A 27,829-nucleotide genomic window follows, 5' to 3' on the forward strand; every position below is an offset into this window, starting at 1 on the left:
TCTAGGGCATAATGTATACACTGCTTTGCTCAACACCTATTCCAACTCCTTTCTAGCCTAGTAGGCACTACAGAGGTTGAAAAAAAAAAAAAACATTACTTCTCAGATTTCCTTCTAAATGTGATTTAGGTTCCACCATTCAGATGCTCTCAGACTAGATACTGATTAGAACTAAATTGGATGATGGGAGAGACTAGCACAGGACATCCCTTTTGCTGGAACAAACTGCAGCAGAGGCAGCATAGTTCTCTATCTAGCAACTGTAGCAACAGGTTCCTGATTCTGGCAAAGAGCAGCATCCTTGGGGACTCAGTTATTCAATGTAGTTTGGGGAGTTTGTTCCTGGAAGCCCAGCCGGGTCCATTTCTTTAACTCTCCCAAAGATTCCTAAATCTCTCTGATATCCTTTAATAAATCTTTTTTGCTTAAACTTGCTAGAATGGACTCTCCTGTTTGCCCCTATTAATAAGAGCCATGACAAATAAGATAGCATATAATATTTACTATCATATTCCCATGACACCTGGCCCTTTCCTACCATGTCTTTGCATCAGCTCTTCTATCAGTGTGGAATGTCCTCCCTCAAAATAACCCCATTTGCAAAAGTTATCCACTACCTCCATGAAGAGATTTACAAAAAGAGGAAGAAAGACTTACATAAAGGAAGAAAGACTTGACAGGAGACTGAGCTCTGAAGAATGAGGGGTATGTCATCTGGTAGAAAGGGACAGAGAGGAAGGAGAGGGCTATTTCAAGTGCAAAGATCAACATTTACAATAGTAATAAGGTGTCTCTTGCCACCAAAGACTGCACCTGCACCTACAAATTCACAACTTCTTAAAGAGTTGGAAATGATACCACTGCACATACTAGTTTTTGCTCAAAAAATTAATGTTGAATACAAGTGAATTTTATAGTCAGTTGTCAGTAATTACTAAGCACTAATAACTGTATTTTAAAAAAAATACCATACTAGAAGCTATAGGGAGATTCCCATAGTAGACATCACACTCTCCCACTCTTGGAGCCTTACAACGTAGAAGGAAACAAGGATACCCACAAAGATCAAAGACACAACATAAAAACTATTTTTTAAGTGCATATTCATATAAACAACAGTAAAGGAAAAAAAAAGATTCAAGTATCTAAACCTAGATGTTATTCAGAGAAAATGTCCCTAGAATTCATTAATTCACCAAATATTTATTAGGTATCTACTATGTGCTAAAAATTGGTCTAGGTGCTGAGGACAACAAAGAAGCAAGCAGAGAAGGTCTTTGTTTTCACAAGGCTTATATTCTAATTGAAGAATTAGGAACAAAGGTTTTGAGGGCAGGGCTATAAATTAAAGCAGAAGTCATTTAAAATCATTTTAGCTTCTCTATCCTGTAATGATAATGATAGCCGACATTTGTTAAGGACTTCTTATGTGCCAAAATTTGCTAAGTGCTTTACAACTACTACCTCATGTAATCCTAATAACAAACATAGGATGCAGGTACAATTATTATTATTTGGTTTTTTGTTTTTTTTTTTCAGACGGAGTCTCGCACTGCCACCCAGACTGGGGTGCAGTGGCGTAATCTCAGCTCACTGCAAGCTCCACCTCCCAGGTTCATGCCGTTTTTCTGCCTCAGCCTCTCGAGTACCTGGGACTACAGGCGTGCACCACCACGCCCGGCTAATTTTTCGTATTTTTAGTAGAGACAGGGTTTCTCCGTGTTAGCCAGAATGGTCTCAATCTCCTGACCTTGTGATCCGCCCGCCTCGGCCTCCCAAAGTGCTGGGATTACAGGCATGAACTGCCGCACCCAGCCAAAGCAGGTACTATTATTAGTACCATTTCACGTATAAGGAAACCAAAACCACAGAGGTTAACTAAAACTACTCTGGCCAGATCACAGTCAGGAAATGGCAGGGCCACAGGATTCAATGTTAGGTCAGTAGCAGAGATTTTAACAGCTACACAATACACAGAGAAGAGAAAATTATATTTACATGTTACAGCCTTGTTGAAATGTGAGGTTTGGAATTATTAATTGGGCATGAACTTCATCATCTCTGTCATTATTTTTCCTTATTCTATAAAGTGAGCTGTTAGACTTCCAAAACTAAGGTCGTGTTCAACTTCTGTTTCCATGGTTTCAAAAACAATGTGAAAAGATATTCAGGTGCCTGGTCCAATTGTTAGTAAAAAGGTGCTTTGAAGGCTGCGGCTCTGCAGTTCTTATTCACTGGCTGGGACCGTGTGCTTCCATGGGTTCATTAAGGGGCGCATTAGCATTACATTAATTGGCATAAACAGCTGTAGCACAAACCTCCAGCAGATAGGAGGCTAGAGGCACAGAGAACAAAGGGAGAGGCAGGAAAGCAACAATTGGCTGACCTGAAGCTGTCTAGGTCAGGCATGGCATTTGGTCCCTCTTCATTTCTAAGTTCTCATGAATGTGGACACCCAGTCGGCAGCCCAAAGCCTTTCTCATTTCCATCTCAATCTCCAGGAAGAATTACAATGAGAATAACAGCTACTGAGGCAGAGAACAGATTCTGAATATTAAAATACACACTAGGCAGGAGCTGGGAAAAGGAAGAATAAGACAGGTTTTCCTTTTGGTCTTAACAAAGCATGACAGTCAAATGCTACCATATACCTGCTGTATAAGCTCTGTACCAGACAGGACCTTTCAAGGACCCTTACCAAGTCCCTTCAATTATTATTCACTTCTTATCTCTATGCATTTATTAGGCATCTCTGATGTACCAGACTCTGAGGTAGCCATCATAGGAATATAATTTAAAAAACACAATCCCAATCTCAGGGAACTAAATCTAATGGAGGAATAAGCATACATAGAGGGGATTCTTGTTATGTGAGGATAACTACTATCCAAAAATACCACTTAAAGTTAACTGACAAGGGACCAAAATTTCTTAGTAAATTTTTTTAAAATGTTGATGGGGCCTTTAATTTATCAAGACAAACATTTTAAAATGTTTATAATTCCTAATTTAATAAAACTTGTTATATTGCCCACAAAGTTAATTCTTAGAACAAAGAACATCCGTCACTTCACATTTGGCTTTCAAAACATATCGATAAGAGGATCAATTTTATAAAAATATTCAAGAGCTTCATCAATTTTTCCCAAGGGTCTCTTTTAATCCTTTGTTACTCAAATCATTGTCCTCCGAATGTCCTGTTATGTCATTACCCACATTAATTCTCCCTTCAATTTTAAATTGGTCTAAATTTACCTAATCCTCATTTGTCAGTGATTTTTGTGCGTGTGATTCAGGCCATTATCCAATATTGCCTTATTTCAACTTCCTAAATTTTTTCAACATTCATTTTAGAATCCACTTGCATTACATTGTTCAATGTTAATAATCCTACCATTAGAAAAGCACTTACTGACAAAGAGGGGTGAATGTACAGACCTTACTGGTGAGCAGGGAGGAATGTTTGAGTGGGGGCTAATTTTATAAGTCCCTATAGATAACAAATGAACTTCAATACTAATTATAGTGCAAAGGACGGAGAGAGTACTACGAAAATTCAAGAAAGTTTGATGAATATATGTCGAGGGAGTGCAAAAGTAAATTATTTTATTCAGTCTTTCAACAAATATGTATTAAGAGCCTACTACATGCCAGGCACTGATCAAGATACTGAAGATACAGCAAAGAACAAAACAAAGTACTACCCTCTAGGAACTTAAAATCATAAATGGGAGGATGAAAACTGGGGAAGCCTACATGGAAGAACTGGCATCCAAGTTGCATCTTGAGGAATAAAGAGTTTTAAAAGCATAGAGGAAAACAGAATTCCAGGCTGAGGGAACAGGGTAATATGATATGAAATGGAATGAAACTGAAACTGTCTATTTAGAGAGATAGAGTAGGGTTAGAAGAGATGATGCTGAAGAGGTAGGTGAGGTCAAATTATTAAGTTCCCTGAATAACTAATTTACATATTATCCTATAAACAATGGAGACACACTGATGGCTTTTGGGAAGAACAGTGACAGGATCAGAAAAATTACTCCAGGCAGAATAATGAATAAATAAGAGGGCACAAAGACTGGTTGCCACGACACTAGTTAATAGGTTACTAAAAGTCAAGGGAAGAGATGATTACAGTCTAAATCAGAGCAGAAAGGATAGAGAAATAAAAATAAACTGGTAAAAAAAACTACAGAGATAAAACTAACAAGGCTTGATAATCCATTGGACTGATAGCAAGAGCTTATTCATTCTGCAAATATTTACAAGCCTCACTGTGTTCCAAGCATTGTACTAAGTGATGAGGTACAATGGTGACCAAAAGACATGACCTTTGACTCCATGGAGTTGAAAGTCTAGACATAACCAAGAGTCAAATAAATACAGAATCACAAATCATTATAAATGCCATCGCAGAAAATAACAAAGTGCTGTAAGAGGAAAACAGAGGGGCTCTTCTTCTTCTTTTTTTTTTTTTTTTTTTTGAGACGGAGTCTCGCTCTTTCACCCAGGCCGGACTGCAGTGGCGCGATCTCAGCTCACTGCAAGCTCCGCCTCCCGGGTTCACGCCATTCTCCTGCCTGAGCCACCCCCGCGAGCAGCTGGGACTACAGGCGCCCGCCACCGCGCCTGGCTAATTTTTTGTGTTTTTAGTAGAGACGGGGTTTCACCGTGTTAGCCAGGATGGTCTCGATCTCCTGACCTCGTGATCCGCCTGCCTAGGCCTCCCAAAGTGCTGGGATTACAGGCGTGAGCCACCGCGCCCGGCGTGGGGCTCTTCTTTAGATTAGAAAGGTCCTGGTTTACAGTAGACAATGAGTATTTGTTTACTGAATGAGAAGGAGAAGCCAGAATTGCGAACAGCAAACCAGGGGTAAAGAACAGGTGTGAAGGCCCTGAGGAGAGACAGACTTTCTCAAACTCTGTAGAATAGAAAAAAAAAAAAAGGGATGAAAAGGAAAAAGGGAGAGAGAAAAAGAAAGAAGGAAAGAAAAAAAAGAAGGAAGGGAGGAAGGGAGGGAGGGAGTCAGCCAGCCAGCCAGCCATTGAGGTACAGGATTATTGGGTACATCTGTGGCTATAAGGTTTTTTGTTTGCTTTTTTTTTTTTTTTTTTAAAGTTAAGTTTGGCACCATGAACATCATTAATGGCCTTAGCAAGAGCAGTTATGATGAGGTTGTGGAGACAGGAGGGGAGTAGGCTGCAGAATAAATAGGAGGTAAGGTACTCGAAGTAGAAGTTGTAAATAGCTATTTTAAAAAGACTAGCTTTGAAGGAAAGCAGAGATAGGGTTTATCTAGAAGCTGACATGGGATCCCAGGAGCACTTTTTTTTTTTGGTGAAGAAAAGGAAAATTATTTTCCTTTAAGTAGAATGTTTGAATGATGCTTAGGGTAACTCAGTAGAAGGCAAAATTTAAAGATGCCATAAAGCGAGATTTCTAAAATGGGACCATGGGAAACAATCTAAAAACATGTGGAGGAGCAAGCGAAGAAGAGATGAGGCAAGAGAACAGAATGACTTCTTTCATTGTAAAAGAAGGGGCAAAGGAAGGAATGGGTACAAATCCAAGTAAATTCTAAGTAGGAATATGAAGCTTCTATTTCATCTGTGATATATGAGGCAAAGTCTGGAGGGTGGGGGCAGAGAGGTAAAGGGCAGAAAAAAAGTGGCAGAAGGAGAATAAGAGTAAAACTGAAGACAATTCTGAGGAAAAGCATGCAATTATTTCCAGAGATAGAAAACACAGGCAGAAAACTAGGCTTGTGGAAAAGGTAAATGAGTCAGTTGAATAGGCCAATTCCTGAAGAAATCATCAAAAGAAAGGCTGTAGTGGTTTTTTCAGTTTGCAAATGTCAAATCCTGTCAAGAGCCCATTAGGTCTTCTACCCTTTGATCCAGTAATCCCACCTATAGAAATTTATTCTAAAGAAGTAATCTTTGAAAGGAGAAAGCTATATGCAGTGCTATTGGGTAAAATTACAGTATAATTTATAATAGGAAAAGAAAAACCTAAAAACCTACACCTGATAGTTTTATGTGTCAACTTGGCTAGGCTATAGTCCCCAGTTATTCAATTAAACATTAATGTAGATGTTGCTGGGAAGGTATTTTGCAGATGTGGTTAACATCTACAATCAGCTGACGTTAAGTAAAGAATATTATCCTCCATAATCTGGATGGACTTCATCTAATCAGTTGAAAGGCTTTAAGAGCAAAACTGAAGTTTCTCTAAGAAAGAATTATTCTACTGGTTCTGTTTCTCCAGTAGAACATTGACTGACACAATAGTTTCGGGTAAATTATGGAACATCATCTTAAATTTTACAATGAAGACTAAAGAGTAACATGCGGGAATGTGTATAAGTCAAGAAAAAAGGGCAAACAACAAACTTAGGTCTACATTATGATTACAACTACATGTATGTTTATGTATGTTTACATACACCAAAAAAGGAAACAGAAAAGGGTTGTCAGGATGGCATCATAACTAAATTTTAAATTGATTCAAAAGTTTGTGAAACAAAGCCCTGTTATTTTTAATGGAACAAAGTCACATTATTCATGTTAAGCTTTATTAGAATAGTGTGGCACTTTAAAGAAACCCATACTAATCCAAAAGAAAACTGCGAATTTTGAAACATTGCCTTCGATAATACTAAAAAGAGCTGACCCACTAGAAGACAAATAGGCCTTCAAGGGTCTCAGTCCAATGCCATTTTTCAGTAACATGCAATTCCTCAGCTTAAAGGAAATGAAGAAAGATCCAGAGTAGCAAAGTAGCTGCTGATCAGCTTTAAGAATTTTCCACATCTTTTCGCCGGGCGCTGTGGCTCACGCCTGTAATCCCAGCACTTTGGGAGGCCGAAGCGGGTGGATCACAAGGTCAGGAGATCGAGACCATCCTGGCTAACACGGTGAAACCCCTTCTCTACTAAAAATACAAAAAAAAAAATTAGCCAGGCGTGGTGGCGGGCACCTGTAGTCCCAGCTACTGGGGAGGCTGAGGCAGGAGAATGGCGTGAACCCGGGAGGCGGAGCTTGCAGTGAGCCGAGATTGCTCCACTGCACTCCAGCCTGGGCAACAGAGTGAGACTCCGTCTCAAAAAAAAAAAAAATGTTCCGCATCCTTAGATAGCATCAGGACATACTTTCAACTTTTACTCAGGTCAGAGGCATTTGCACTGGGCAGCTACACATTTAGCACAGTAAGGTTTCTTCTCTCCTCTCTTCTCCTAATACCAGACATTGAAAGGATTTTTTTTTTTATGTTCTTTGAACTTAAGAAAATCAAATAACAGTTCTTAGTAAAGAAGTCATGTGGGCCAGGCACAGTGTCTCACACATGTAATCCCAGCACTTTGGGAGCCCAAGGCTGGCAGATCACTTGAGGTCAGGTGTCTGAGACCAGCCTGGCCAACATGGTGAAACCCTATCTCTACTAAAAACACCAAAATTAGCCAGGCATGGTGCCTTGCACCTATAATCCCAGCTACTTGGGAGGCTGAGGCAGGAGAATTGCTTAAATCCGGAAGGAAGAGGTTGCAGTGAGCCGAGACCGTGCCACTGCACTCCAGCCTGGGCAACAGAGCGACCCTCCATCTCCAAAAAAAAAAAAAAGTCATGTGTCTCAAAAAAAAAAAAAGAAGTCATGTGGACCACAGTTTGAATGCTGGCTCCACTTTCACTCACTCAATCAAAGTGCCTACTATAGGTTAGGCACTGGGGGATACAACAGTGAGAAAAAAAAAAAAAAGGTGGGTGGGGGTGGGGTGGGGGGGCTTTTAGGAAAAAGGGTACTATGTTAAAACTCATTCTCTTGAAGGTGCCAAGCCTTAAAGAGAAATGATTCTCTGGAACTTAGGGTCTAGTAGGGTAGACAGATATTCATCAAATAATGCCACAGAGTATCAAGTAAGAGTATAGTTTCATGTAAGCAAATAATGATATGAATGCTAAAGTGTTTACGGGTGTACTGATATCTGCAACTTATTTTGAAATGCTTCAAAATAAGACAGGTTAATGAATGGATCAAGGGATACACAGACATGCGATAAAGAAAACACAGCAAAATACCACAGAATCTAAATAATGGGTATATGGGTGTTCACTGCACATACTCCCCTGCCAATGTTTTATTTAAAAAAAATTTTTAACGTACATAAAATTAAAGAAATATAGTATAAAATGAAACAGTTTCAAGAAGAGTCAGCCTACAGGAAAATTTTTATGAAAAATTCAGTCTTTGAGAGGGTCCACCTACCACAGATAGCCAGAGGCAGTCTCAAGACCACTTGGAAACTTGTATTAATCAATTTATTCTTCATCAATATTTATTTACTTGTTTGTTTTAGCTAACAATGAAATAGAGCATTCTACTCCCAAGATACTATGCTAAAAGTGCTTGTTCATCTCCTCATTCTAGCACTCTAGAGAGGAGAAGAGAGACTTTGGCAATTACTGTCTCCATCTATAAAATCAGACTTGATAATCCCCTCTCAGTCCCTTCGGATTAACTAGGATATTACACAGGGTAGCGTTTTGAAAGGTCTCTTCCTCCCACTCCAACTTCATCTCATACCATTTACTCTTGCTTCCTATACAACAGCCATAATTTTTTTTAGTTCCTCTATGTTGAGGTAAACCAGCATTATCCAACTGAAAGATACGGTTAGCCTTAAAGAAAAGCCACATATGTAATCTCAAATTTTCTAGTAGCCATATTTTAAAGTTTGTAAAGAGGTGAAATTAATTTTAAAATACATTTAACCCAATATATTCAAAATATTAACAATTCAACATATAACCAATATAAAAAGTTAATGAGTTATTTTACATTATTTTTTCAGTATTGTCTTCAAACTCTGGTATGTATTTTATTTACACTTACAGTGCATCTCTATGTGAATCAGTCAGTGTGCTCAACAGCCACACTGGCTAAGTAGCTACCATATTGAGCAGCACATCTCTAAACTTTTACCTACTCTCAGGGCCTTTGTGCATTTAAAATGTTCCCTCTGCCTGACATGCTTTTTCCCCCTCAGTGTTCTGCATGACTAAAATCTATTTATCATGCACATCTCAGTTTAAAAGCATCATTTCCTCAATGAGGTCTTTTCCTTATCACTCCAAAATTCTCTACATTAGTCCTTTATCTCTTTTGTAGGACTTATCAAAATCTGCAACTGTCCACTTGTATATCTACTTACTTTTCTCTGTATTACCCTCTGGAATGTAATCTTTGTAAGAGCAAGGACAAGGACCATGTCTGTATTATTTATGAGTGTATCCTTAGTACTAAGTACAATGCTTGGCACACAGGAAGAAATCAATAAATATGTGTAGTCTAATTAAGGAATAAATAGAAGCACTATAGAGCTGTACAGATGCTCCTTGACTTATGATTAGGTTACGACCTGATAAACCCAACTTACACTGAAATACTTTAAGTCAAAAATGCATTTAATACACCTAACATACCAAACATCGTAGCTCAGCCTACCCAACCTTAAACATACTCAGAACACTTACGTTCACCTACAGTTATGCAAAATCATCTAACACAGAGTCTATTTTTTAATAAAGTGATGAATATCTCATGTAATTTATTCAATACTGCACTGAAAGTGATTGGATGGGTATTCCAAGTATGGTTTCTACTGAATGCATATTGCTTTTACACCATCATAAAGTCGAAAAATCATTAAGTTGAACCCCTGTAAGTCAGGGACCAGCTGTATTGGATTGGTACATACATGAAAGAGTGTGTGTGTGTGTGTGTGTGTGTCTGTGTGTGTGTCTGTGTGTGTGTGAAGAATATACTCAGCAGCCATTCCTAACTGTCCTGGAACCTTTACCACATAGTCAACTAAGTCAATTATCCGGCAAGTGGCAATGGATAGTAAAAAAACGATTTTTTGAAAGAGTTAGAGGGAACTATAAATATATTTTACCATTCTCCTAGGAACCTACAATTTTTTAAAAAGTGCCACTGGTCAGGGCAGCACCCAAATGATCAGGAACAGGTGACCAGATTTGGAGACAGAAAATATGAATTAAAGATTCCAGTTTGTAACTTCCCAGCTACATAATCATGCCACTTAACTTCTGTTCATTTATAAAAATATGATGGCTAAAGAACAGAATTAAGTTAAATGAGACTCTATATAAAAGGGTTTTGAAAACAGTAAAGCACAAAAATTATATATATAATCCTATATATAATCTCTAGAAAGTCCAGGAAACTTGGACTTTTCAAGTCTATCACAATGGGCTTTCTCATTTTGCTCACCTGGTTCTTTATTTTTTTTTAAGTTACTTTACAAATTACATATGTAATTTATTAAATTAAGCAAAATCTATCCTGGATACCAAAAAAATCTCAGACTCTGGACTGGTGAGATAATTCCATATGAGAAAATAAGTGGGAGGGAATGTTATAAAATAGTAATTCTTGGCCGGGCAAAGTGGCTCATGCCTGTAATTCCAGCACGTTGGGAGGCTGAGGCGGGCAGTTCACTTGAGTCCAGCCTGGGCAACACGGCAAAACCCTGTCTCTACAAAAAATACAAAAATTAGCTGGGCTTAGTAGCATGCCCCTGTGGTCCCAGCTACTCGGAGACTAAAGTGAGACGATTGCTTGAGCCCGGGAGGGCAGCACTGCAGTGAGCTATGATGGAGCTACTGTACTCCAACCTGGATGACAGAGCAAGACCCTGTCTCAAAAAAATAAATAAATAAAATATTAATAGTAATTCTCTAACAGGTAATTGGAGAACCAAGAGCCCCTCCAACTATACCAAGTCCCTCTTTACCCATCCCCAAAACTGGCAATTTACATTTTGTTCCTGTAGCCCATTGGGAACTATTTCCATAGTGAAATACTGTTACTGATGGACTACATCCCAGTGTATCACAGAGAAAGGGTGAGGGCAGGGAGTAGGTGAGAAGGTTAAGAATCACTGTCGAAATATTCAAGCAAAGAAGTTGGCATCAAATTCAACACATTTATATGACAGCTAAGGAAAACTGAGTCTCAGGACGGTTAAGTGACTTGCTGTGGTTACACAGTAATAATTTTTAAAAATGTCTTCAAGGCCGGGCGAGGTGGCTCACGCCTGTAATCCCAGCACTTTGGGAGGCAGAAGCGGGCAGATCACAAGGTCAGGAGATTGAGACCATCCTGGCTAACACGGTGAAACCCTGTCTCTACTAAAAATACAAAAAATTAGCCGGGCATGGTGGCACGCACCTGTGGTCCCAGCTACTTGGGAGGCTGAGGCAGGGGAATGGCGTGAACCCGGGAGGCAGAGCTTGCGGTGAGCCGACATCGCATCACTGCACTCCAGCCTGGGCGACAGAGCAAGACTCCATCTCAAAAAAAAAAAAAAGTCTTCAAATGACAGCTTGATGTCTCTGCTCCTAAATTTCCTCATCTGTAAAATGAGTTAGCCAACATCAGTCTAGCACATTACAGCTTCCAAATTGTTGTGCATATATCCACAGAGCTTACCTGATTCCCTACCACACCGCAAAAGTCTAAGACGGCTATGGTGTAATAGAAAAAGCATGATGAACTAAACAATCATAAGAACCTGGCTTCAGATCTTAGCTGTGCTGTATAGCCTCAGCAAGTCAATTAACCTCTTTGTGTTTTCTTCTATCAAATGAATATAAAACAACACCTGTCCTAGCTAACCCAGGGGATTGTCCAAAGAATAAAGTCAGATAATATCAGTAAAAGTATTTTGTACATTATACAAAAGGCCCTTCATCATCTGGGCCCTGCCTCCTCTCTGCTCTCACGCCTCCCCACTTTACACCCTATCTTCTAAGCATACTAAACTACACAGGGCTCCCCAAACAGGCTCTCAAATCTTCTGCTCACATATTGCTCTCTCTTTCAAGAGGGTCCATCATCTCCCCTTTCTTCTCACCCCTCCCTGACTGTGCTTCGTTAACCCCTGATCATTTTTCAGAACCCATCTTAGATGTCACCTCCTTTAAGAATGCTTGCCAGGCCACCCCCATTTCAAGTGCAGCAGATGCCCTTCCTCTGTGTTCACATGGCACTTGCACTTATCTCCATATTTTTGTCATTTTTTGTCTCAATGTAGTGTAATTGTCTATGCACATGTCTGTTTCTCCCGGAAACTATAAACCCAAGGGTAGAGGCTATGATTCATCTGTTTATTCAGAACCTATGACAATGCCTGATGCATAATATGTATTTAGCAAATGAATGAACTTTAAATGGCAATAAAATATTACTTTTCATATAATACTTACATAAGACATTTATGCAAAACATTGTTAATATAAGGCAGTGCTTCTCAACTTTGCATATCAGAATCACCTATAAACCTTTCAAAATAGAGATGCCAAGGCAACTCTTTACATCTTCACAAGTAATTCAAGTGCATAGCCGAAATTAAAACCACTGCTACACACAATCATAGTCATAAAATTACAAACTACTCTACCTAACATCTATATAGCTCAGTATCTTACAATTCACTTTTACATATATTATTAATCTTCACAAGAATTCTGTAAGTTAGGTATTATTTCTTTCAAATGAACAAATAGAGATTTAAATAAGTGTCCAAGTAGCTCTTTGTCTAACTTCAAATTTTGTGCTCTTCCTTAAACCCTCCCTTGGTAAGTGCAGTAATACACAAATCAAGGGTTCCACCAGTGAGGAAGACATCAATCTTAGCTTTGTGGGAATCCAGGAGGAAATAAGGAAAGCTGGACCTTAAAGATATAGGCAGGCAGATGAGGGTGGAAGCCATGCATATACTGTCATTGTCATTTGCCATCCCAAAAGATTCAAAAGGCAGATTCTATAAATTAGAAAATGCTCTTGCCAGCCTCAGTTAGTACTTAACAGTCTGAAAGGGAAAGGGATATTGGAGAAGGCTGGAAGTAGAAAAGTAATAAAAGAAAGCAGCCCATAAACAAGAATGGATTTCCCAATCCTGCATGCAAATTACCTAACTCTGACTCCAGGAACAAAAGCCAAGACATAATGGACTTAAGAATTAGATGAATTCTACAGTCAATCAATACCACGAAAACTCATGAGGGATGAATGAACCTCTGGTTCTTTCTAGACTTACTACTACACTATTCCTCAAGAAGGGATAATCCGGAGAAGCCTAGCATATACATGACTTTCCCCATCTCAAAAACTAAAAGAATGGGAGAGAAGAGGAAGATATTCATGAAAGAAAAGGCTTACAAAAAGGGTAGAAAAATGTAGCACATTAAGTTAATAAATTTACGATGGCACAGGGAAATATTCAGGCACAAGTGATTCCAAATACTGGATAAAGCCTGATCTGGCAGCTTCAGTAAAGAGGTATTATCTTCTAAGTCTGCAACATCATGACCATCTGACATAGAGTTTTATCAGCAATTATCCTTTCTAGTTCAAACTGTGGACTTCAGTCAGGGTTTTCTTAGGGAGAAGAAGCTAAAGAGATTAGGAACCAATTTAAAAGAATGTGTCTAGTGCCCCAAAATTTAGTTTGATAGAGTTTAAAAGGCAATATGTTATAGTGGCAAAGTAAAGTACTACACTTAGAATTTTAAAATGTGGTTTAAAATCAATATTCAGGCATTCATTAATGATGTGCCTCTGAGCAAGCCAAGACTTCTATTAATATGATCCTCAGCCTGCTAACTCGTAAAATGGGAATACCTATCTCATAGGGCTGTTACGAAGATTGAACAAAATAACATCCAGGAAAGATGTTATTTTTCCTGTATGAATGATAAATGTAAACGAATGTAAATCTGTCTTCACCAAGCCTTCTAATACACACACAAAAAAAACATACCAAATGGAAACTTTAACTCTCACTGCAATATATTTACTTGCAAAACATTCCTATATCCTCTGTGCAGAAACATTAAAAGCAGCCTCTGTACTGAAAATAGCACATAGCTGCTGGAGTCAGGTGCACATGGACTAGAATTGTTGGTCTGCCACTTACTTGCAGCAAAACCTTAAATAAGCTCCCTTTACTAGTATGACTCTCAGGTTTCCTCACCTATGATACAGAGATACCAGCAATCATCTCATAAGGTTATTCTGAGGGTTAAAAAGAACATGTTAAACATCTCATATAGGGCCTGGTACAGAACAGGTATTCAGTAACATAAGCCATTTTTAGTAAGCTTACCACCACCTAACAACTAACAAGCAAATTATACTTTTCAAAGATTCCTTTATAGTCATTATTTTAATTGCTTCATGATCCTGTAAACTAGTCGTAGCAACTATTACTATCCCCATTTTACAGTTGGGACAAAACACAGAGATAAAAATTACTTCTACAAGGTCATGCAGTAACATAGACACTAAAGAAGGTCTCCTAACTTTTCCAGGGTTTCATTTTCACCCACTACAAATTACAACATTACCCCTTAGAAATTAAAACATCTGTGAAGAGACTTTTTTTTTTTTTTTAATAATGGGCATAGAAAATGACCCAGAAGGAGCAAACACTGGTGTGGGAGAATGTTTTTAAATTTTTTATTTTCAAGTTTGAATATACTGACTATTAATTTTGAATCAATGCATTTTTCCTTTTATTTTTAGTTGATATGTAATAATTGTACATATTTATGATATTTTGAGATGTATATAATTCGTAATAATCAAATCAGGATAATTAGCATATTCATCACTCCAAACATTTATCATTTCTTTATCATAAACAGTCAAAAGCCTCGTTTTTAGATGCATATTGTTTATCGCTTTTCAAAAATAAACAATAAACTGTAGTGAGATGTATTCTTTTGATAACCTTAAACTTGTCTCTTTACTATGCCAAAAAGAAATATTTTTCTCCCACTTTCTGGTTATTATTTAGAAAAATAACATGGAGAGGGATCAGAAAATTCATTAAAACCAGCAACAACAGAATTAATGTCTCAAATTGGCAACTGCTGATTCCACCTTGATTTTTGTTTTAGTTTTCCCCAACAAAGCCCATGACCTCTTAAAATTTTTTAAAAGTCTGCCTGTCAAAATGATGCTTGTTTGACAAATTATTCCTAAACTGAGGGAAACAAATAGAAAGGCAGCTTTCTCCCCCCCTTTATGATCATATACCACCTTTTTTCATCCCTCTATTTCATCTCTTCATTTCAGCACTTATCATGTCATATTATCTCTAGCTCCTTAAAGACTTGGGCTGCACTCTTGTATATAGCTGAACATCCTGCCCAGCACAGGGTCTGGCACATGGTGGAGAAGGACTCATAATTTTATAGTAAACGGATGAATAATTGAAGCCACTCTCCCAGAAGGAAGCTAGGAAAGGAGAAAACTGGGCATGGTATCTTAGGGCTAATAAGAAAGTGAAAGAAACAAAGCATTTTAAGAGCTTGACAAGGAAGAGAAACCTTTGTGTGGAGTCAAACAGGCCCTATATAGCTTTAAGTATCACCAGAGAAAGACAAAAACCACAGGAGACCAGGAAGAGACAGTTTTAAGTTAAAAGACTCAAAAGTTAAGAGTGCTTATTTAGACTTGCAAAACCAACTTGCAAATTCAAAAGAAACAATCCTGGCTTGGAATATTGCAACAGCAGTTTTCAGGTGGTGGTTAAAACAAACAAACGAACAAAAGACTAGGCTAAAAATTCTTGCAGGCTTTGGTTGGAGACACATAAAGGGAAAAGCTCAACCTAAAATGAATCCCCCAAAAATGTTAGGATCCCCTTGGATTTGCACATTGGACCATGATTCCTATTCATTCTGAGAACGGTTCTTGAGTAAAACCCCAATGTCGCAGCTGGCAATACATAGAATTAAATCATCTTACATTATTCATTCAACAAATACTTGAGTGCCTGCTATATGCAGTCACTATTCTAGGCACTAGGATTAAAGCAATGACCAAACTGACAAAACTTCCCAGTCTCAGGAAGCTTTCATTCTATTGGCAAGAGAGGGATGGGATGGGATGGGATGGGATGTCACGCAGTTAAGTGCTACGGAAGAAAAACGGGACAGCAGGAGCTGGCAGGGTGCTGGTTTTTATTAAGAGCAGATCTTTTAACCCAGTGGTTCTCAAACTTTAGCAAGCATCAGAATCATTTAAAGGGCTTATTAAAGAAAAGAAATTCACAGGCTACCAAAAAAAGACAGGCACAAACTCAAGTAATTGCAACAGAGCGCTACAGAAGGCCATAAAAGTGGTATGTACATGAGCCAGAGGATGGAAGAGCAACTCATTCTATGCAGGAAAAGGAGAGACTAAGGGACTGCATCCCAGAGGCCCAACAAGGTCATCTCCACAGGCAGGTAAGGGGTGGAAGGGAAGCATTCCAGGAAGAAAACAGAACATGCAAGAGTGAAGATGAGAGTGGCAGGGGAGCCACAGAAAGTGAGACTGCAAAGGCAGGCAGTGGTCTGATCCCTGAGAGCTTTTTATTCCATGTTACTCTGAAATTTATCTTCAGAATATGAAGAGTCAGGGGTAGGGGGCGCTGATGTGGTAAGGTTTTGTTTTACAGAAATCTTTCTGGATGCACAGTACCTTCCTTTGAGGCACTGCTTCCTTCAAACCTAGCACAGGGACTCAAAACATGTGCTTAGTAAATGTATATTGAATTGAACTGAACAAGCTTTTTACCAAATGCCCTGTTATGGATGAGGCAGGTCACCTTCCCTGCAGGACTCACTTTGGCCAAGAGAAGACTTGTAAAACAGGTCCAGCAGCCTCAATTATTGCACACTACTACCTGTACAACTGGAGTCCCCCAGAGATTAGGGCAGACCTTCATTGTTTACTTGTCTACCTCACCCATTAGACTTTGAGCTCTTTGAAGACAGGGAATATCTTAATAGACTGAATCCCCATAGCCTTAGCAAGAGGCCTGAAACATAGTAGCTCTCCGAACTCCAGTAATGTTGGATAAACGAATTGACTGAATAAGCAAATTTACCAAGGTAGACCCATGAGCTCATGTAGTTAAAGAGTATGGATAAGCTTCAGGGAAAGTATGGGAAGTTTTCAGGGTCAATGTTCCCAAAACCCTTTTTGAAAGGCATAGTTTCTAGTTGAGGTGGGGAGTTTTTATATGCACCTGACTTAGAATTTTCCAAATAGGAACCAAAATGTTGTAAGTGCTGTGGTAGAAATCCCACCGGGCCAATGGGAAGAAATCAGCTCTGTCTGTAAGAGGAGAGACAGGATGGAGGCCAGCAAAGACTTCACAGTGTGGGAATTCTTCAGTGGACTCTTGAAAGCTGAGTCCGGTGCTTGCTACTTGCCCGTTTTGGGGCATAAAACCAAACTTCTGGAGCTTTTAAGGCTGGAAGTGACCTGCTCAAGGTCACACAAGAAGTAGATGAAGCCACAGGGTAAGAGAGATGAGGTATCTGTACTGATAATTCCTACTTTCTCCTGACAGAGTTGAAAGAGAACCCAAAAATGTAGGAGGCAAAATTAAAGATTGTTCTCAGGAACAATTCTTAAAGTCAAGACTAATGAATCTGAATTTTTATTAGTAACCACGGAACTAACCCTTCCCTTCACTGTTCACAGTTTTTGTAACAGTAGAACAATTATCCAAGGGGTTTAAAAACCAAGGACGTTGCTCACAACGCCACACCCACTACTTCTCAAGTATTCTTCCAAAACACTCCCAGTAATGTGTACTGCTGAAATAGGATAGCGAAGGCTACAACAATCATGTCTTTTCAAACGTAATAATGAACATAAAATAACTATAAATCTCCTTCCCCGGTTGTTTTTCACTTCCCAAGTTACAGAATATTCCGGGGTGGGGGAGGGGCTGCGTAAGTCAAGTCCTACCAGCCCTTATTTTTCAGGGAGTAGAACCCTAAAGGTGACTGTCCAAGCCTGGAAGGGGTCATTTATTCCATGCAGAAGGAACTGGGCGCCGCTTTGCTGTGCCTCCTCGTAGCGGGACAGGGTGAGCGCCGCAGGACTGCGAAGTTCGGGACGGACTCGGTCCCGGACCGGTACTCGTGTGGCCTCCCGGCTCCAGCCTGGCCTGGCCCCGCCCCGCCCCTTCCCTCTCCCAGGTCTCTCGAATCGCCCGGCGTCTGAGACCCGCGACCCCGCCGGTACGCGCACAGGGGGCCTTTGTTGGCCCGACGGGAGCGGGCCTCGCGGGGCGCCGCCCGCCTCACCTTACCTGGCGCCTCCTCCCGCCCAGGCGCCCGGCCCCGCAACGCGAAATAAATGGGCCCAGACCCCCACTCCACCCGTCCCCACCCCCGCGCCCCAGCCCTGGCAGCCCGGGACGCGAGGGGTACTGGGCGGTAGGCCCGCTCTCACCTTCCGCGCTCGCTCAGCTCCTCTCGGCTCCTCCTCCTCCTCCCGGCGGTGGGTGCCGCCTAGCCGGGAGTGAGGGCGCGAGTGTGCGCGAGCTACCGCTTCACTTTCTCCCTCCTGCCGCCGCCGCCGCGCTGCCCGTGGCGGGGCTCCCCTCAGGACAGGGGAACTGCGAGGGAAGGGATGATGGGGGGGCGGGAGGGAGCGAGGCGACGCGGGCGGGGGGGGAAGGGGGGACTGAGGGGCGAGGTGCGAAGGGCTCAGATGGCCTCTGAGGCAGGAGGTGGTAACTGGATGCGGAGACCAGGTTCCTCGAGGGGGCTCACGAAAGCGCGGGGCTCCGTGGAAAAGGGAATGAGAGTCCAAGGGGGAAGGCGTCTGTGGGGGAGGACTGCAGAGCCTGTGAGGGAAGCGCGATGGGCGAGCGAGGGGGCGGGAGCGTGTGGGGGAAGCCGTGAGGGGGCGTCTACTGTGCAGCCACCACCTTCGGCTCCGGCTGCAGCCGCGGGAGGGCAGCCTCCCCCGCCCACAGCCGCGCTATTGTACGCCGCCCGGCAGGCCTGACCGCCTAGTTCACTGGCTCCCCTACTCCTCCTCCTCCCGCCTCCTCCTCCCCTCTGCCCTTTCCCCTTCTCCCCCTCCCCCTCCCCCACTCCCCCTCCCCGGCGCGGCGGCGGCGGCTGCGGCTCCGGTGGAGCCGTGCCCGCCCCGCCTCCCGCAGGTGAGAGGGGGCGGGGAGGGCCTGACCGACCCGTGGGAGCGAGGCCAAACCCTGGCCCGCATGAGGGCGAACGCCTGGGATTACGTCATCGGCGCGTGACGCCAGAGGCTGGGGAATCACCCGCTTGCTGCGTGACGTCATCGCGTCGCGTCACTGTTCTCGGTCCGCTGTCCGTGGCGGGTTGTTTCCGTGCAGCCTTTCTATCAGACAATTTTGGGACGATTTCTGGGAGGGCTACTGTAGTAGTCAGGATGGAGAAAGACGGCTAACTTCCGGCGCTGAGGGTCCTTTTCAGGTTAACAAAGCACCACCGCATCTATGAGCTCGTTGTCAAGGGCTGAATTTGAAAACTATCCGATGTCGTGTGATCTCACAGCCAGACATGTATTATGTTTTCTTTCTGTGGGAGAGGGGGCAGGGGTGGGAGGAAGACAAAGAAATTATAACGGAGATGTTTGAACTAATGTGAACTGACATACGAAAAGAATGGGCTTCCTTTCACGTTTTTTCCCCTACCGTGGAGGGTACTTTCGACCCAAAGCTTTCTTTCTCCTGAGCTCAGATTGTGTATTTCCCAATACCTCCCGAGCAGCATTACCTGCATACTCTTCGTACCTCAGATTCAACATGTGCGAAACTGAGACAGCATTAGAAAGGCTAAGAGTCCGGAATCAGGTTGCCTTGCTTGAAATCCTAGCTATTCAAATATTAGTGATAGGACCTTGACATTTCTAAGCCGTAATTTTTCTGTAATAATAAGTAGTACCTTAACTAGGTCTTCCTAAGCCTCAGTTTTACCATGGTAATAGTAACAAGCCCTTTAGAATGTTGGCTATTATTATTATTTCCCCCCCAAAATTGCTTCTTACGTTCCTTTCCGTTCTCAATGAATGGGCCACCCATTCAACAATCCCCTAAGCCAGGAACCTAGACATACTAATAGCTCCCCGTTCTTCCTCTCTCAACATCCATATCAAGTTGGACACCAAGTCTTGTAGCTTCTCCTAAATATTTTTCAAGTCCTTGCCTGTGTCGTCTTCTACTACCACCACCTGAACAACTGGAGCAACCTTTAGTCTCTTCAAACTCAATCTATTTTTCTCACTAGTTACCTGAGTAGCCTTATAAAAGCACAAATCTGATGATGTCCTCCCGTTTAAACACCGAAAGGATTTTATTGCTTTCAGGATAAAGTTCAAACTCCTGAACTTGGCACTTTATTACCTGACTGCTTACACTAGCCTTTCTAGCTTTGTCTCACATCATTTATTTTTTGCTCCAAGCACACTGAAATATTAACGTTATTTGAATACACATTTCTTCATGTCTTCAAGCTCTTCCCTACTTAGCTGACTGGCCAACACCTATTCATTGTACAAAGCTGAGCTCAAATGTCATTCATATTCATATTCATATTCATTTGACTAATATTTCTAAAGTTTCCCTAAGCCTTAACAAAACTGTAATTCTATAGTATTTCTATGCCTTTTATGGAAGTAACTGCATTTGTGTATCTAATTTCTTGAGTTCCAAGTCATATTCCTTTCCATATCCTCAGCACCTAAAACAGTGCTTGACATATACCTAAGTATCAATATGTTGTTAAAATATATTTAATAAGGCCAGGCGCGGTGGCTCACGCCTGTAATCCCAGCACTTGGGAGGCCAAGGCAGCCAGATCACCTGAGGTCAGAAGTTTGAGACCAGCCTGGCCAATATGGCGAAACCCCATCTCTACTAAAATACAAAAATTAGCCGGGCGTAGTGGCAGGCACCTGTAATCCCAGCTACTCAGGAGGCTGAGGCAGGAGAATTGCTTAAACCCAGGAGGCGGTGGTTGTAGGAAGCTGTGATTGCACCACCACACTCCAGCCTGGGTGACAAGAGCAAAACTCTGTCTCAAAAAAAATGTATTTAATAAATGTTCCTATTGTTCTTTCTATGTGCCAGGTACTGTTCTGAGCACTTTACAAACACTGTCTTTAAACCTCTACCCTCTACGGTAGATACTGTTGTTATCCTCACCCATCTTATTGATGCGGGAACTGAGGCACAGAGGGGTTAAGTAACTTAACCCAGGATCCTAACCCAGTAAATTGACTCTAATCTGGATTGTCTTTTCGTGATCTCTGCACTAGGCAGAATAATGGCTCATCCAATGGAATGTTCACATTCCAATCCCTGGGAACTATGAATATGTTACCTTCCATGACAAAAGGACTCTGCAGATGTGAGTAAATTGAGGATTTGGGGAAAGGGACTCTCCAGCTTTTGGGAGCAGACTGGAAAATGGAAAAGGCAAGAAAATGGATCCTCCCTTGGAGCCTCTGGAAAGGAAGAGATGGTATCCTGATGATACCTTAATTTTAGCCCACTGACATCCATTTAGGACTTCTGAACTACAGAACTGTGAAATAATAAATGTGTATTGTTGGCCAGGCACAGTGGCTCACATCTGTAATCCCAGCACTTTGGGAGGCCGAGGCGGGTGTATCACCTGAGGTCAGGAGTTCAAGAGCAGCCTGGCCAACATGGTGAAACCCCATCTCTACTAAAAATACAAAATTAGCTGGGCGTGGTGGCACATGCTTGTAATCCCAGCTACTCGGGAGCTGAGGCAGGAGAATCGGTTGAATCCAGGAGGTAAAGATGCTGTGAGCCGAGATTGCGCCATTGCACTTAAGCCTAGAGACAAGAGTGAAACTCCATCTCAAAAAATAAAATAAAAAAATAAAAATAAATGTGTATTGTTTTAAGCCCACTTTGTGTTTGATAATTTGTTACAGCATCCATAAGAAACTAATACAATCTCTAATCAAAGGTGACTGCTCTATGCTAGGAATTGCTAGCAGGATGAGAAGTGAAACTGTCCACCAAAGCTGCAGCTGAAATCAGAGATGGGCTAGAAGTGGAATAAATAAGTAGGATAAGTGTATACAGTAAGTCCTCACTTAACGCCATCAATGGGTTCTGCAACTTTAGGCAAAACAATGTATAACAAAACCAATTTTACCATAGGCTGGCTAATTGATATAAATAAGAGTTGAGTTCCTGTGGCATATTTCTGGTCACAAGACATCATCAAACTTCTAAATAAAGACCAAAACACCTCTAATATCAAACATTGAAATCAATGTGGCCTATACATACATTTAAGAAAGATTAATAAAAAGAGGCCAGACCAGGTGCCTTGGCTCATGCCTGTAATCCCAGCACTTTGGGAGGCCAAGGTGGGCAGATCGCTTGAGCCCAGTAGTTTGAGACCAGGCAAGATAACATGACAAAACACCATCTCTACAAAAAAAAAAAAACCCAAATACAAAAAATTAGCCAGGCATGTCAGCACACCCCTATAGTCCCATAGTCCCAGCTACCCAGGAGGCTAAGGTGGGAGGATCACTTAAGCCCCGGAGGTCAAGGCCACAGTGAGCCATGACCGCACACCTTTGCACTTCAGTCTGGGCGACAGAGTGAGACCTTGTTTCAAAAACAAAACAAAAAACAAGAGGCTGGGCACAGTGATTCATGCCTGTAATCCCAGCATTTTGGGAGACCAAGGCAGAAGATCACTTAAGCCTAGGAGGTCGAGGCTGCAGTGAGCCGTGATCATGCCACTGCACTCCAGCCCAGGAAACAGCGTGAAACCGTGTCTCAAAAATAAACAAGTAAGATCATTATTTACCCAATTTTTCCAGTTCAGGGTTGAGAGTGGCCAGAGCCTATCCCAGCAGCTAAAGGTGCAAGGCAGGAACCAACCATGTATAGGATGCTACGTAAGCTATTCCAGGGTGCACTCACATGCACACCAACACTCACTCAGACTAGGACAATTGAAACATGCCAGTTAACTTAATGTGCACATCTTTGGGATGTGGGAGGAAGCTAGAGTACACAGAGAAAACAGAGTCCAAACTACACTGGTGACCCAGGCCAAGAAGTTATTTTTTTTTTTCTCATCAACATTGTAACAAAATAACATTATTCAAGGACTTGTTGTATTTCACTTTATAAGAAATTGCCAAACTGTTTCCCAAAATGGTTGTACCATTCAGGATCCTTTTGACACGTCCTCATCATCGTTCTTTGAGCTCTTCCTTGCTTTTTGGTCCAAGATGTTCTAAGCTCTTCTTACACTTTCTTTGACCCAGCCCTCAAATGAGCCATTACTCCAAAGAGCTCTGATTCTTTTCAATGAAGAATAGTATTTAAATGTGAAGATCTGGCCTGGCACGGTGGCCCAAGCCTGTAATCCTAGCACTTTGGGAGGCCAAGGTGGGTGGATTGCCTGAGCTCAGGAGTTCAAGACCAGCCTGGGCAACATGGCGAAACCCCAATCTCTACTAAAATACAAAAAAAAAAAATTAGCCGGGCGTGGTGGCATGTGCCTGTAGTCCCAGCTGCTAGGGAGGCTGAGGCAGGAGAATTGCTTGAGCCCGGGAGGCAGAGGTTGCAGTGAGCTGAGATCAGGCCACTGCACTCCAGCCTGGTGACAGAGTGAGAGTCAACATTTAAATGTTAAGATCTAGGCCAGGCGCAGTGGCTCATGCCTGTAATCCCAACACTTTGGGAGGCCGAGGTGGGCGGATCATGAGGTCAGGAGATCGAGACCATCCTGGCTAACATGGTGAAACCCCGTCTCCACTAAAAATACAAAAAAAAAAAAAAATTAGCTGGGCGTGGTGGCAGGCGCCTATAGTCCCAGCTGCTTGGGAGGCTGAGGCAGGAGAATGGCATGAACCCAAGAGGCACAGCTTGCAGTGAGCCGAGACCGCGCCACTGCACTCCAGCCTAGGCGGCCGAGCAAGACTCCGTCTCAAAAAAAAAAAAAAAAAAGTTAAGATCTAAGCATTAGCACTCATTGTAATAGATGCCACTGTTCCCAAACTCAGACCTACTTTTGCTCTCTTTCTGGCCTTTAAGAAGCATACCGTCACGAGTTCTATGGCTTCAAGGAAATGAATTTTGCCAACAACCTGAGGGAGCTTGGAAACCGCTGATGAGAATGCAGCCCTCCGATGTCATGATTGCAGCCTATGAAACCCTGAGCAAAAGACCCATCTAAGCCATTTCCAGACTCCTGACCCACAGAAACTGTCAGATAATGAATATGTGTTGTTGTAAGCCACTAAGTTTGTGGTAATTTGTTGCTGAGACATAGAAAACTTATAGGGGGCCAAAGGAGAGAAGGGGGAGAAGAAGAGGAAAGGAAGAGCTCTGGAGACATTTTATATTTCCTAATTCTTCCTGTTTCCTGCTGCCTTGAGTGTACACACGAAGGCTGGAGCTGGAGCAGCTATTCAGAAACCATGAAGAAAAGGCCAAGAAAAATAAACTTTTTTTTTTTTTTTTTTTTTTGGTGACAGAGTCTCACTCTGTCACCCAGGCTGGAGTGCAGTGGTACGATATCGGCTCACTGCAAACTCCGTCTCCTGGGCTCAAGCGATTCTCATGCCTCAGCCTCCCAATTAGCTGGGATTACAGGCGCCCACCAGCACACCCGGCTAATTTTTGTATTTTTAGTGGAGATGAGGTTTCACCATGTTGGCCAGGCTGGTCTCAAACTCCTTACCTCAAATGATCCACCCACCTCAGCCTCCCAAACTGCTGGGATTACAGGCATCAACCACAGTGCTGGGCCCAAAATCACAAAGATCTTGAACTAAGTACTTTGAGTCATCAACCTAATGCCAGGAACCACCTGCCTCCAGAATTTCTATCAGGAGAAAGAGAAGTAAGTTTTTTAAAGCTGTTGTTTCTCAGGACTCTTACAGCCAAAAGCTGTTCCTTAATGGTTCAGTGTGTTTTGTAAGTTTCCATATGTATGCTTTCTTTTGTTTTGTTTTAACTATCTTTTCACTGCTGTTTCTTGAACATGGCAAGCACCCTCCCAACTCAGGGCTTTTGATCTTGCTATTCACTCTGCATGGAATTTTCTTCCCCCACATAGCTGCATATCTTGCTCCCTCACTCCTTTCAGGTTTCTGCTCAAATGTTACCTCATCAGAGAGGCTTTTCTTTTTTTTTTAAAAAAAGTATACTTTAATGAGTATAAAGTATATAAACAATTAGGTAAGCTTGTGGAGAAGCTGACCAAGATACATAAATTAGGAGATACAAGTGTCCATCTAAATTTTCTGTATTTTATTATTTTACAGAATATTTATTAAAGGTGTTTAATATACACTTTCTCATCTGTCATTTTGGAAGTCCTTTATTGTAAAGATAATTCTATTGTCTGAGTAACCACCATGGTTTTTTTTTTTTTTTTTTTTGAGACATAGTCTTGCTCTGTTGCCCAGGCTGGAGTGCAGTGGCGCAATCTCAACTCACTGCAACCTCCGCCTCCCAGGTTCAAGTGGTTCTGCTGCCGCAGCCTCCCGAATAGCTGGGATTACAGGTGTGTGCCACCATGCCCAACTAATTTTTGCACTTTTAGTAGAGGCGGGGTTTCACCATGTTGGCCAGACAGGTCTTGAGCTCCTGACCTCAAGTGATCCACCTGCCTCAGCCTCCCAAAGTGCTGGGATTACAGGCGTGAGCCACCACACCCAGCCTAAATATTTTTTGAAATTTGTTTATCATCTGTCCTCTTGCCCTCAGAATGCAAGCTTCATGACAGTAGGACTTCATCTCATTTGTTTGTTGCTGTGTGCCCAGCTTCTAGAAAATTACCTGGTGTATAATACATGCTTAATAAATATATTATTTCTAATTTAATTTCATCGTGGTCAGGAGACATGCTTTGTATAACATCTTTTTAAACTTTCTTGAGACTTTCTTTTGCCCTTGTACATGTTCTAGTGCATATTTTAAAAGAATGCATATTCTCTATTTGTTGGATGCAGCATTCTATTTCTATTATATCAATTATATTAACTACATCATTCCAGTGTCTATTCTATTTCTATTATATCAAGTATATTAACTACATCGTTCCAGTGTCTATTAACTTAATGTTCCAACTTAAGTTAATGATCCATCAACTTAATGTAAAAATGTGATAAAAAATCTCCAAATATATATAACTGTGCATTTGTCAATTTTTCCCTTTTTGATTTATGTGGTGATTCTCTGTTGTTAGGCCTGTGATTTGGGTGATTTGTGTCTTTTAACATTGTATCTTTAGGCCAGGCACGGTGGCTCATGCCTGTAATCCCAGCACTTTGGGAGGCCGAGGCGGGCGGATCACGAGGTCAATAGGTCGAGACCATCCTGGCCAACAAGGTGAAACCCCATCTCTACTAAAAATACAAAAATTAGCCAGGTGTGGTAGCATGTGCCTGTAGTCCCAGGTACTCAGGAGGCTGAGGCAGGAGAATTGCTTGAACCCGGGAGGCAGAGGTTGCAGTGAGCCGAGATTGTGCCACTGCACTCCAGCCTGGTGACAGAGGGAGACTCCATCTCAAAAAAAAAAAAAAAAAAAATTACGTCTTTTCTGAGTAGCACAATTGCTAGATTCTATTTTTATGCAATGATAGTTTTTGGATTTGTATAGGTGAGCTTAATCTGTTTCACTATATTGTGTCTTCCTGTATTAGAACATGTCTCTCCAGGAAAATGTAAGCTTCTTGAGTGTGGGGAGTTTGTTTTACTCGCTACTATATCTCTAGAGCTTGGAACAGTGCTGTACTTATTAGGTACTAAATAAATATCTATTCCTTGTTAATAGTGATTATTGCTATGTTCATTTCTATTATCTTGAATGTTTTCTTTTTACCGTTTTGCTTCTTTTTTTTTGAGATGGAGTCTCGCTCTGTTGCCCAGGCTGGAGTGTAGTGGCACGATCTTGGCTCACTGCAAGCTCCGCCTCCCGGGTTCAAGCAATTCTCCTGTCTCAGCCTCCTGAGTAGCTGGGATTACAGGCACACCCCACCACGCCCAGTTAATTTTTGTATTTTTAATAGAGATGGGGTTTCATCATATTGGTCAGGCTGGTCTCGAACTCCTGACCTCAGGTAATCCGCCAGCCTCAGCTTCCCAAAGTGCTGGGATTACTGGCGTGAGCCACCACGCCCGGCCTATTTTGCTTCTTTATTGTTCTTTTCTGTATTCTGTTGGATTGATAACGTTTTCTTGGCTTCCCTCTGCCCCACTGATGCCTTAGAAGATAAAAATTGTCTTTCTATTCTTTTAATGATTATCCTTAAAAAAGATATATATAAATTTAGCTATAAACTTCCATAAATTATCAGTGTCTCCATCCTCCTCCAAAGTAAGATGAAACCTTCAATATACTTTAACACTCACTGATCATTCCTCTTGAATTCCTTTTAATTAGTTTTTGTGCATGTCTAAAAATGATTTTATTTTTCCCTCACTCTTTTTTTCTTTTTTTTTTTTTTGAGACAGGGTCTTACTCTGTCACCCAGGCTGGAGTGCAGTGGCATGATCTCGTCTCACTGCAGCCTCGACCTCCTGAGCTCAAGCAATCCTCCCACCTCAGCCTTCAGCCTGCTGAGTAGCTGGGATGACAGGCACTCGCCACCCTGCTCAGCTAATTTTTGAGTGTTTCTTTTTGTAAAGGCAGGATCTCCCTCTGTTGCCCAGCTGGTCTTGAACTCCTAGGCACAAGCGATCCTCCCGACTTCAGACTCCCAAAGTGCTAAGATTACAGGCATGAGCCACCACACCCAGCTTTTCCCTCACTCTTGAATGATAGGTAATCACCTGTAATCCCAGCATTTTGGGAGGCCAAGGCAGGTGGATCACCTGAGGTCAGGAGTTCAAGACCAGACTGGCCAATAGGGTGAAACCTTGTCTCTACTAAAAATACAAAAATTAGC

At 41.7% G+C, this 27,829-nt stretch overlaps 1 protein-coding gene across 20 annotated transcripts in view, besides 8 other annotated features; it reads right to left on the reverse strand.

Moving 5' to 3' along the window:
- PAK1 (p21 (RAC1) activated kinase 1) overlaps nucleotides 1-27,829 on the reverse strand; it is a 207,993-nt gene that overhangs the window by 133,207 nt on the left and 46,957 nt on the right. For 15 of the 20 annotated variants that reach the window (NM_001376304.1, NM_001376273.1, NM_001376268.1 and 12 more), the window contains exon 1: nucleotides 18,329-18,871. The gene's annotated coding sequence lies outside the window, so the exon portion shown is untranslated. Of the gene's footprint in view, nucleotides 1-18,185; nucleotides 18,872-19,166; nucleotides 19,447-27,829 lie in introns of those variants that run through there. The other 5 variants (XM_024448560.2, XM_047427054.1, XM_047427049.1 and 2 more) reach the window with 2 other exon arrangements.
- Nucleotides 2,159-2,218: an enhancer, noted in NCBI's record as "active region_5306". NCBI's record gives its function as "activates an Ori minimal core promoter by ATAC-STARR-seq in GM12878 lymphoblastoid cells {active_cell/tissue: GM12878}" and the evidence as "EXISTENCE:reporter gene assay evidence [ECO:0000049][PMID:35858748]".
- Nucleotides 17,979-18,895: an enhancer, noted in NCBI's record as "H3K27ac hESC enhancer chr11:77184247-77185163 (GRCh37/hg19 assembly coordinates)". NCBI's record gives its function as "activates a minimal SCP1, AML or CMV promoter by ChIP-STARR-seq in primed H9 embryonic stem cells {active_cell/tissue: H9 hESC(primed)}" and the evidence as "EXISTENCE:reporter gene assay evidence [ECO:0000049][PMID:30033119]".
- Nucleotides 17,979-19,105: a biological region, named in NCBI's record as "H3K27ac hESC enhancer GRCh37_chr11:77184247-77185163".
- Nucleotides 18,136-18,445: a silencer, noted in NCBI's record as "silent region_3797". NCBI's record gives its function as "represses an Ori minimal core promoter by ATAC-STARR-seq in GM12878 lymphoblastoid cells {active_cell/tissue: GM12878}" and the evidence as "EXISTENCE:reporter gene assay evidence [ECO:0000049][PMID:35858748]".
- Nucleotides 18,466-18,515: a silencer, noted in NCBI's record as "silent region_3798". NCBI's record gives its function as "represses an Ori minimal core promoter by ATAC-STARR-seq in GM12878 lymphoblastoid cells {active_cell/tissue: GM12878}" and the evidence as "EXISTENCE:reporter gene assay evidence [ECO:0000049][PMID:35858748]".
- Nucleotides 18,746-19,105: a silencer, noted in NCBI's record as "silent region_3799". NCBI's record gives its function as "represses an Ori minimal core promoter by ATAC-STARR-seq in GM12878 lymphoblastoid cells {active_cell/tissue: GM12878}" and the evidence as "EXISTENCE:reporter gene assay evidence [ECO:0000049][PMID:35858748]".
- Nucleotides 23,160-23,665: an enhancer, noted in NCBI's record as "H3K4me1 hESC enhancer chr11:77189428-77189933 (GRCh37/hg19 assembly coordinates)". NCBI's record gives its function as "activates a minimal SCP1, AML or CMV promoter by ChIP-STARR-seq in naive H9 embryonic stem cells {active_cell/tissue: H9 hESC(naive)}" and the evidence as "EXISTENCE:reporter gene assay evidence [ECO:0000049][PMID:30033119]".
- Nucleotides 24,677-25,181: an enhancer, noted in NCBI's record as "OCT4-NANOG-H3K27ac hESC enhancer chr11:77190945-77191449 (GRCh37/hg19 assembly coordinates)". NCBI's record gives its function as "activates a minimal SCP1, AML or CMV promoter by ChIP-STARR-seq in naive and primed H9 embryonic stem cells {active_cell/tissue: H9 hESC(naive and primed)}" and the evidence as "EXISTENCE:reporter gene assay evidence [ECO:0000049][PMID:30033119]".

This window comes from Homo sapiens, chromosome 11, assembly GCF_000001405.40.
Source record: "Homo sapiens chromosome 11, GRCh38.p14 Primary Assembly".
Classification (NCBI taxonomy): domain Eukaryota; kingdom Metazoa; phylum Chordata; class Mammalia; order Primates; family Hominidae; genus Homo; species Homo sapiens.